The sequence below is a fragment of the Homo sapiens genome, chromosome 12 (assembly GCF_000001405.40).
Source record: "Homo sapiens chromosome 12, GRCh38.p14 Primary Assembly".
NCBI lineage: Eukaryota > Metazoa > Chordata > Mammalia > Primates > Hominidae > Homo > Homo sapiens.
The window spans coordinates 13,430,840-13,441,392 of NC_000012.12; the positions used below are offsets into that span (position 1 = coordinate 13,430,840).

The 10,553-nt window shown below is 43.0% G+C and overlaps 1 pseudogene, besides 2 other annotated features; it reads right to left on the reverse strand.

The window, feature by feature from the left end:
* Positions 7,422-7,943: an enhancer, noted in NCBI's record as "H3K27ac-H3K4me1 hESC enhancer chr12:13591195-13591716 (GRCh37/hg19 assembly coordinates)". NCBI's record gives its function as "activates a minimal SCP1, AML or CMV promoter by ChIP-STARR-seq in naive H9 embryonic stem cells {active_cell/tissue: H9 hESC(naive)}" and the evidence as "EXISTENCE:reporter gene assay evidence [ECO:0000049][PMID:30033119]".
* Positions 7,944-8,465: an enhancer, noted in NCBI's record as "H3K27ac-H3K4me1 hESC enhancer chr12:13591717-13592238 (GRCh37/hg19 assembly coordinates)". NCBI's record gives its function as "activates a minimal SCP1, AML or CMV promoter by ChIP-STARR-seq in naive H9 embryonic stem cells {active_cell/tissue: H9 hESC(naive)}" and the evidence as "EXISTENCE:reporter gene assay evidence [ECO:0000049][PMID:30033119]".
* RNA5SP353 (RNA, 5S ribosomal pseudogene 353) lies at positions 10,045-10,162 on the reverse strand (annotated as a pseudogene).

Genomic DNA, 10,553 nt, shown 5'->3' on the forward strand with positions numbered 1-10,553 from the left:
ACTTGCATCCTTCCTCATTAAATAATTTAGAAATCATCTGCTGTAGGTCTACCATGCCCCTTGGTAGAGTTGGCAGGGTGGTTGAGGCAGGAAGGTGTCCCACACAACCACAGTGGCTTATCAAGCATTTTTTCCAATCACATGCAATGTTTCTGCTTGGCAAGACATCCGGAATATACAATTGTCACCTTCTTGTTCAATTCCATTGATATTTTAGAAATTTAGTGAGAATTCATTTCCCTTCATAGATGGACACCCCAGGCACTACCCAGCTGCCTCCCCTTAATTTGCTTTTGATGTCATGGACCTCCTGTTGAGTCTTCCTGCCTCAAGTCTTGCTCCTCTTCAAACCATTCTCTGCAATGCAGATAGGATAATCTTTACCAAATGTATATCTAATCATGCCACTCACCTGATAAGCCACATTGCAGGGTTTAGAGAACTTGTAGTATGTTCTCAACTCTGCAACAGGGCTCAGCGGGCCTTTAGGATCAGATAAAAAGGGCAACACAGCTTACCTAGCATTTGTTTTCTGGATGTAGTCCTGTTTTTGGCCTCATGCCTTGCCCTTCTCCTGCTTTTTTTTGTTTTTCTTTTTTTATGTGACAGCCATATTTCTCCTCTTTCAATTCCCAGATGTGCCATGCTCTTTTCCTCTGGGTCTTTGTGAATTATTTTTCTCTATGCAGAACACTTTGTTTTGCACTCTTGCCTTTACCTGGCTAACTTCAGCTCATCCTTCATATATCTGTGTAAATATCATTCTCTCAGCTTGGTTCTATCTGTCCTTTAGACAAGATTAATTATTGCCCTTAATCTCTCTGTACTTCCCTTATCATAACATCAGTCATTCTTATTGTTATCATTTGTTTAATTATCGGTAAGTTCTATAAAGACAGGGATGACTAGCTTGTATTCCTCAAGCCTATCTGGCAATAAGCAGGTACTCAAATAGATATTGAATGGATAAGTGATTGAATGCATGCATGAATGTGTGAATGAGGATTTAAAAGCCTTCCTCTACTGCTCATTATCCCCCAGTCTCTATATCCAACTGGTAACCAAGTCTGGTTCTAATTTTAATTTTAAAGCATTCTACTTTTCACCAACTCTCATACGCCTTCCTTCTTCTATCTTATACCTGGACTATGACAACGATCTTGCATTCAGTATGGTGCTTCATTAAATTTCTATAAGGATATCAGAAATAAATATCTATGTCCTTTCTTTTCTAGCCCATGGTATAAACATCAAACTCTTTTGCCTGTTTGATCAGTTCCTATAACCCATCTCTTGTCCTTCTGTCCTCATGACCTAGAAATGCTGAATTACCTGTAGTTCTTCAGCATATACTAGGATGTTTCATACTTTCTAGCTTTCCCTCAATTTTTCTCCATACTTAACACACCCCACTCCATTTTGTGCAGCTGGAGAACTCTTGTTCACTTTTAAAACTCAGTCCAAAGGCACCTCTTCTGTGGAGCCAGTCTGAACCCTTCTTTCTTTGTGCCCCAGCTGAATAAATGGCTGTAACAGCACCAGTATCACTTTTTTTTTTTTTTTTTTTTTTTTTTTTTTTTTTGCATGCACTTATTTGTCCTGGCTTTTCTAGTTTTGAGGGTAGAGGCCATATCTGATTCCTGTTTATATCTCCAGCAACTAGCCCAGGGCTGGCACTTTTGGCTGAAAAGTGGAATGAATGGAAGGGATCTCTAAAGTTCCTGCTAACTAAAGCATTCCATGAATTAAGAAGCTAGTCCTTGATGAGGCACAGTAGCTTAAACCTATCTGTGAGCACAGCAGCTTACACCTGTCTGTGAGCACAGCACTTTGGGAGGCCAAGGCAAGAGGATTACTTAAGGCCAGGAATTTAAGACCAGTCTAGGCAATATAGCAAGACCCCATCTCTACAAAACATTTTTATTTTTTTTAAATTTAGAATATAATTATACCTTATTGATATTTTCTTTTTTTTCCTCTTTTTAAAATTATATTTTAAGTTTTGGGATACATGTGCAGAATGTGCAGGTTTGTTACATAGGTATACACGTGCCATGGTGGTTTGCTGCACCCATCAACCCTTCATCTACATTAGGTATTTCTCCTAATGCCATCCCTCCCCTTGCCCCCCACCCGCCGACAGGCCCCAGTGTGTGATGTTCCCCTCCCTGTGCCCGTATGTTCCCATTGTTCAACTCCCATTTATGAGTGAGAACATGCAGTGTCTACAAAATATGTTTTAAAAAATTAGTTGGGCATTGTAGCATACACCTTATAGTCCTAGCTACTTGGAGGCTGAGGCAGGAGGATTGCTTGAGCCCAGTAGTTTTAGGTTGCAGTGAGCTATAATCATGCCAGTACACTTCAGCCTGGATGACAGAGGGAGACCCTGTCTCCAAAAAAAAAAAAAAAGAAGAAGCTAGTCCAAGATTTTCAGCATGTTGAACCAGCATCATCCAGGGGGATTTTTTCTAGAAAAATACCTGTGAACTCCCTTTTCCCTTTTGAAAGCCTAGGTCCAAGCTCAGCATATATTGTTATTGCTAACCCCACAACCTATTTGATGAGACCTCCCTTCCTGTTGAATTTTTGCTAGAGCTTTATCTGGAAGGTAGATGTAATCTTAAGTCTATTTCTATCTTTGAATAACACATATCTTTTCCTCTTTTCTAATGCCAACCCCCAGGAAGGTGAAGCCAAGTAGTGCAGGGTTTCAGAAGAGGCCGAGCAGTGGTTTTTGGTGAAGGAGGAGACTTCCATGTCATTGGGAGTATTAGGCCAACCATGGCAGAGAGGCAGGGTGAGATGTTAGTAGTGGGCTGGAGGTGGATGGCCCAACAAGGGTCATGAAGGCCAGTTCTGGAGAGACTGACCTGGCTGTAGGACTGGCTTTGCAAGCAGTCAAATCATGCTATAAGTTCTTGTCTGGCCTGAGATGCTGAGATGGCACTTAAAGAGGTTCAATCCCCAAGAACAAGTTACAGTGGCAGGATCCTCCTTTCCTGCTTATGCAAAACACAGGACTGCAGCTAGAAATCAGGGGCTAAGGTTCAGCCAGCCACCCCTTTCATTTGGAACAAAATATCAAAGTGCCAATCCTGGAACTTTGCCCTGGAGGGCAAACTGGGAATTGGAGCTGGGACTAGGCAAGAGTTGTCTTTCCAGAAGCACAGAGGACATTAGGGGTGCTCAGGCACTCACTAAGGGAACATTCAGTTAAGGGCTAAAGGCTAAACATGGACTCCAATCACTGGTAGAGATAGGGCCCCAAATATTAACAATATTTGTTTCTCAATGGTCAGGGACAGAGTAGATCAGCCTGAGGCTTACCAGTCTTTAGAATATTTATAATCAATATTTAACTTTTAAGATTTTGAAATCCTAAATGTCCACAAGCACATAAATAATCAAGGAAAATACATTTAAATTGGGATGCAATCTCTGTTTAGACCCATCAAATCAGAATTGGGTAATTTAAACTTCCTTTAAAATAAAATAATGGATGCTGTGGAGGGCACACTTAGGCCTTCTAACACACGGCTGATTCTACATTGGTACAACCCTTATGGGAAGTAATTTGAACATTCATATCAAGTTCTTTAAAAAGTTCATTCTTGCAGCTAATATTTGTGGGTGTTTATTCAGCCCTCATTTTTGCCTTTTTCCCTCCTAATACTGGTTAGGTTTTTATCTGGATATCCATCCTTCTCCAAGAGACCATGTGCATTGGGGCAGTTGACATCCCAACTAACATGGATGTCTCTGATTGGCTTAGGCAATTAGAACTTTTGAACTTCTGGTCCAAAGTGTTTATTTTGTGGATGGGCACAGACCTATATTCCAATCAGGGTGAATCTTAAGACTGTTGTTTGGAAGGCAGAGAGAGAAATGTACACTCTCCCACTAGATGTGCCTGAGGACATCTATAGCCATGATGGTGGCTGGTGGCCATCCTGATTTGAGTTTGGCTTTTTGCTATTTGCCACCGAAAGCCTGTTCTTCAGCCTTTCACCCAGTTATTTCACTTCTAAGAATATATCCTAATGAAATAATCATAATTTCATCCAAAAATTTAAGTATATCATTATTTATAAGAAAGAAAAATGGGAAACAGCCTATATAAATGTCCTTAAATGGATGAAGATTAAATAAATTATATTGTACTCATAGGAGGAAATTTTATGAAACCATTACAAATCATGTTTCTGAAGAATATTTAATGACTTTGGAAAATGCCCACAGTATAGTGTAAAGTATGAAATGTAAGATGTAAAATTGGATTCACATAATGTGATCCCATTATCTTATTTACATATAGAGAGATTGGAAGGAAATACACCAGAATATTAACAGTTGTTTATGGTTCATTTTTATTACTCTCTTTATAGGTTTTGAACATTTAATATGTATAAATGTGCACATATCATGTTCATAATGACAAAAATTCCATAAACATTGTCGATATTTTTGTAGTTTTGACCCTTTTCCAGAGACCCCAAAGGGTGATATCATGTTAATTTTTTATTTTGCTGAGGCATATATTCATGACAGGCCCTGGGAGGCTATTGGGAGGGAACACATTTCTAAACTCTGCCACCCTTCACACACAGGCCAGGCATTTTATGGAGCTCAGCCCTGTAAGGAAATTAGAGTTAGGTGGAGCTGGGGCAAAATCTGTCACCTGATATAGATGCAAATACTTCTCACCCAAATAAAAGAATTGGTGCCTTACTTCTAGAACCCAAGCTGCATCTGAAGTTGTATCCACTCTCTCCAGACTCTCTCTGCCCCTCCCCTCCCCATGCTCAGGTCTAGGACCGTTACTGCATTTTGCAGATGGGAGACTGCAATGCTCTGGGAAGTGACTCACCCTCAGCCACAGGGGGCTTAATCCCCAAGTTAGCTTATTACTTGGAACTATTTTCCCCCAGGCTGGTGTTGAAGGCAACCTCCTCTGTCTAAAAGGCCCTGCCGCGGTTTGATTTTTCTTCCAGCACAATCCCAGCAGGAAAAGTTCTAGTACTTGCAGCTTGGAAACAGCAAGCCCTATTTCTCTATTCTCATTCAAAACAGGTCAAATGAATAGGCAAGATTTCCTTCCTATAAGATTCAGCTCCTTGGGCTTGTGTGTAAGAGGCAAGATCTTATCCTCCTCCTCCTCCTCTTCTCTCCTCTTTCTCCCCTTTCCCCTTTTCCCCCCACTCCCTCTGCCCTTCCTCACTTCTTCTCCTCCATCTCCCTTTTTCAATATCTTTAATGGCTCATGCAGCTTAAAACTTCACTGGCAGTTTTCAGGGTTTTCAAGAGCATTGGATTGCCAGAATGAGATGTGTGCCTTTCCCATGATCCCCATGACTTAGGCATCTAACTGATCCAGTCCTTTCTCACGGTTGGACTTCTGGCTAGGGCACCACTCCATGCTCTTAGCTGTCATCCCCTCAACAGGGTATGGTGCATTTGGAGCCTCCTTTCTAGTTTTGACTCCTCCCAGAGCCAGCTTTTTCCAGATGAGGCCAACTTCATCTAAAACCTACAGTGGCATTAGGCTGAGGATGCTGTTCAGTTCTGGGCCTTTCCCTTTTGGAAATATAATGTATAAAAATGACACACCTGCTTATTCTCCAGCCTGGCAGTTGTCAGGGCTCCACTGCATGCTTGGAGATGTGCCAAGAGATTATCTCAGCAACCTCATCTCCCTTGATTACTTGAAGTTCTCAGTGTTAGTGGCGATCCTTAATGAGGGGACACAGTTTAGGTAGGATAAGATAATGGGCCATTTATCTTGCAGGTTCAGAGGGATTTATTTCTGAGATTCGACTCTTCCAGGAGGGAGAGGAGTCCTGGGGAATAAATAGACCCAGGGTACTGGAACAAGGAGCACATAGCCGTGGAATGCCATTGCAGAGGAAGCCGGACAGAGCCGGAGCCAAGGTCCCCGAGAGCCAGGATCAAGGCTTGGTTATCTTGGACTTGGTGGCACTAAGCACAGAACTGCTGCAGGGGAGTTAGCCTGATCTAGCCCCCAGCCTACCCTGACTTTTAGGAGAGGTTGTTGGCAGAGTAAGTGGACAAAGCTGCATGTGTGCATTTCTGAGTCATGTCTTTCAGAATCCACCTTGTAAGTTGAACTCTGCCTGCCTCGTGGATGCTGTCGGCATATCTCTGACTTCGGCTAAAGTAAATTTCAATTACTTTATCTTTTGGCTCTTGCTGCTTTTTAATCCCTTCCCCCCTGATAAGGCACAACCACATCCATGGCTTTTCTCCTGTGTTGGAGGATCTGGTCTCTTTGTGTCAGAGTGATGTGGATCACAGATTGGGGCTAACAGCACATGGTATTTCACCTCCTTGCCCAGAGTTCCATGGCCACATGTGCCATATGACTGACTCACACTTTCCCCGAATTACGTAACTGCTGCCTGGAGCCTTGTGATAACCCCCCTGGGACCTGCTGACAGTGCTGGGACTATTCCTCCTGTGAATGGCTACACACACCCTTGATGCTTGGGTTCTTCCGATCTCAAAGACTGAATAGAACGTTTAAGGTTCTGAAATCTCCCACTTCCAAGGATTCAACTTGCCAACATTTACTGAGTGCCCATCAGATGCCAGGCTCAGTGCAAGATGTCGTCATTTATTTCAACCGACTCTCAACTTGTTCAGTAGGTATTATCATTATCCTGTTTAATAGATGAGGAAACTGAGTATTGGACCACGTAAAGGACTTTCTGAAAAAATCATCTGGCTAGCAGTGGAGTATAAATTCAAGCTGAGATTGACTTGACTTCAGAACAGTGCATCATGTGTCTTTGTAGGCGTGACTCTGGTCAGTAGCTCCATTTACACCGAACAGTCCCATATTTGAACTTTTCTTCCTACGCAATAAGATTTTATACCTCATCTTCCAGTAGATGGAGTCCCAAGAATGTCTGGATGAGAAAAGCTTTGTGGGGGGAGGGGGGAAGAGGGGGAGGGACACACATCTGATTTCCATCCAGTCTTTCCTTTTCCTCTTGCATCTTGCCTTGTTTTCAAAGGAGAAAAAGGAGTCAGTGTTGTACAGTGATGCAGAACATTTTCTCTGGATTCAAGTTGATGGATTCGAATCCCGGCTCTGTCACTAACTTTGTGACTTTGGGAAAGATACTTCTTCTAAGTCTCAGTGTTCTCATCTGTAAAATAGGGATAACAATCATCCCTCACTCATAATTTTGTGATAATGAAATACAATAATGTATGTACAGAAGTTATTATTTGGTGCATAATGAATGCATACATTGACCATTTATATTACTAATAAATAGCAGCTGGCATGGGTGTGTAAATTGGTGCAACTACTTTGGAGAGCAACTTGGTGATACCCAGTAAAATTGAAGATGTTCATACCCTGTGGCCCATCAACTCTTCTCCTAGGTATACACATAAGAAACATATACAGAAATGTTTGTATCGGCATCATTTGTAATCACAAGAAGTTGAAAACTATATATTCATTAATAGAAGAGTGAATAGATAATTATATAGTCATACAAGGAAATACTATGCATCAGTGAAAATAAATGAAATAAAGCTGCACAGATGAACATAGATAAATCTCGTGAATATAATTCTGAGGGCAGATAGTGGAAACACAGCTAGGTACCCATTAAATCTTAAAGCTCCAAAATCTCCTTTGACTCCATGTCTCACATCCAGGGCATGCTGATGCAAGGGGTGGGCTGACACGGCTTTGGGCAGCTCCGCCCCTGGACTGTTCAGGGCACAGCACCTGCAGCTGCTTTCATGGGCTGATGTCGAGTGCCTGAGGCTTTTCCAGGCACAGGGTGCAAGCTGTTGATGGATCTACCTTTCTGGGGTCTGAAGGATGGTGGCCCTCTTCTCACAGCTCCCCTAGGTAGTAGCCCAGTGGGGACTCTGTGTGGGGGCTCCAACCCCACATTTCCCTTCCATACTGTCCTAGCAGAGGCTCTTCATTAGCGCCCTGCCCCCGCAGCAGACTTCTGCCTGGACATCCAGGCATTTCCACACACCCTCTGAAATCTAGGCAGATGTTCCTGAAGCTCAACTCTTGTCTTCTGCACACCCACAGGCCCAAAGCCATGTAGAATCTGCCAAGTCTTGGGGCTTGTACCCTCTGAAGCGATGGCCCAAGCTGTATGTTGGCCCCTTTTAGCTACAGCTGAAGCTGGAGCAGCTGGGATGCAGGGCACCAAGTCCCAAAGCTTCACAGAGCAGTGGGGCCCTGGGCCTGGCCCATGAAACCATTTTTCCCACCTAGACCTTTGGGCCTGTGAGGGAGGGTCTGTGGTGAAGGTCTCCGACATGCCTTGGAGACATTTTCCCCATTTTCTTGGCTATTAACAAAGACATAAGCTCCTCATTACTTATGCAAACTTCTGCAGCCAGCTTGAATTCCTCCCCAGAAAATGGGTTTTCTTTTCTACCACATGGTCAGACTGCACATTTTCCAAACCTTTGTGCTCTGCTTCCCTTTTGAACATAAGTTCCCAATTCAAACCATCTTTTTGTGAATGCATTTAACAGCACACTTTCAGAATAAGCCAAGTCACCTCTTAAATGCTCTGCTGCTTAGAAACTTCTTACACAGATACACTAAATCATCTCTCTCAAGTTCAAAGCTCCACAGATCTCTAGGGCAGGGGCAAAATGCTGCCAGTCTCTTTGCTAAAGCATAATTTGAGTGACCTTTACTCCAGCTCCCTGTAAGTTCCTCATCTCCATCTGGGACCACCTCAGCCAGGACTTCACTGTCCATATCACTATCAGCATTTTGGTCAAAACCATTCAACAAGTCTCTAGGAAGTTTCAAACTTTCCCACATCTTCCTACCTTCTGAGCCCTCCAAACAGTTCCAACCTCTGCCTGTTACCCAGTTCCAAAGTCACTTCCACATTTTCAGGTTATTTTTATAGTGGTACCCCACTATCCTGGTACCAATTTCGTGTATTAGTCCATTATCACACTGCTATAGAGATACTCCCTGAGGCTGGGTGATTTATAAAGGAAAGAAGTTTATTTGACTCACAGTTCTGCATGGCTGGGGAGGCCTCAGGAAACTTACAATCATGGTGGAAGGCAAAGGAAAAGCAAGTACCTACTTCAGAAGGTGGCAGGAGAGAGAGAGAGAGATAGGGAGGATGTGCCCTACTTAAAACCATCAGCTCTTGTGAGAACTCCCTCACTATCATAAGAACAACATAAGGGAAACCACCCCCATGATCCAATCACCTCCCACCAAGTCCCTCCCTCAGCACGTGAGGATTACAATTTGAGATGAGATTGGGTGGGGACACAGAGCCAAACCATATGAATGCATGATGATAAATGCCCCATGATGGCAAAGGGAGGCTACCTAGGGACACAGGTTATTAGAATAGTTCCTTTCACAAGCTGAATGGTGGGTACATAGGGAGTAGTAGGCAGATTTCTAAAAGAGTCCTCAAGATTCTCACACCTGGGGTACTCACAGCTTCTCCCAGTTATTCAATCAATACTGGTGGAGCTTCTGCTGTGAAGGGATTTTGCAGATGTAATTAAGGTTCCAAAAGATAGGCCTTAAGATAAGATTATCCTAGATGGGCCTAACACAATCAGCTGAGCCCTTTTAAAAGGGGTGGGACTTTTCCTGGTGAGAGAGATTTGAAGCATGCGAGGGATTCTGTGAAGGAGAGTTTTTGTTTCTTGCTGGAATGAAGGGGTCCATGTGGCAAGGAGCTGAGCGTGGCCTCTGTAAGCTGAGGGTAGTCCCAGTTGACAGCCAGCAAGGAAACAGGGACCTTGGTCCTACAATAGCAAAGAACTGAATTCTGTTAACCCAAACAAGCCTGGAAAAGGACGCTGAGCCACCGATGAGATGAACAGTGAGTAAGTCTGGCCGATACTTGGATTTGTGTGTTTCCCTGAACAGAGAACCCAATCACACTGGGCCTGAACTTCTGACGCACAGAATTGTGAGCTAGTAAACAAGTATTGTTCTAAACTGCTAAGTTTTTGGAACTTTGTCATGTGGTAGTATAGAACTAATGTATGTAGAAACGATGTTATTCTTTGTCTCCCATCCAAGTACTAACCAGGGCTGAACCCTGCTTAGCTTCCGAGGTCAGACGAGATCAGGCGTGTTCAGGGTGGTATGGCTTTAGACAACAATCTTATTGTTTGTATAATTTTTGTACCTTGGAAGTATTTCCTAATGCTTTTTAAGAGCACTAGAACGGGTTGGAGCTAGGCAGTGTTGCTGAGTTCTGGGCCTGACCCAGGAGCTAAGTAAACAATTAGCTGAAAAATAGCCTGTGTGTTGGTAGGTAGTAAAAAAACAAACAAAAAAACAATAAATGTTGAATTGGAGACAGTGTATGTCGGTGTGACACTGCTGAGGCTAATTCAGCAACTAAGTGGGGCTCAACATAAGTGAGCTGGGTATAGATGGTGAGGATAAAAGCCTTTGGTGAGTGGAGTTCTTCAGGTGAGTGGAGTTCTGTGAAGTTTTTTGAAGTTCAGGGGATCTGAAAAAAACTCCTATTGCTGGTCAGAAT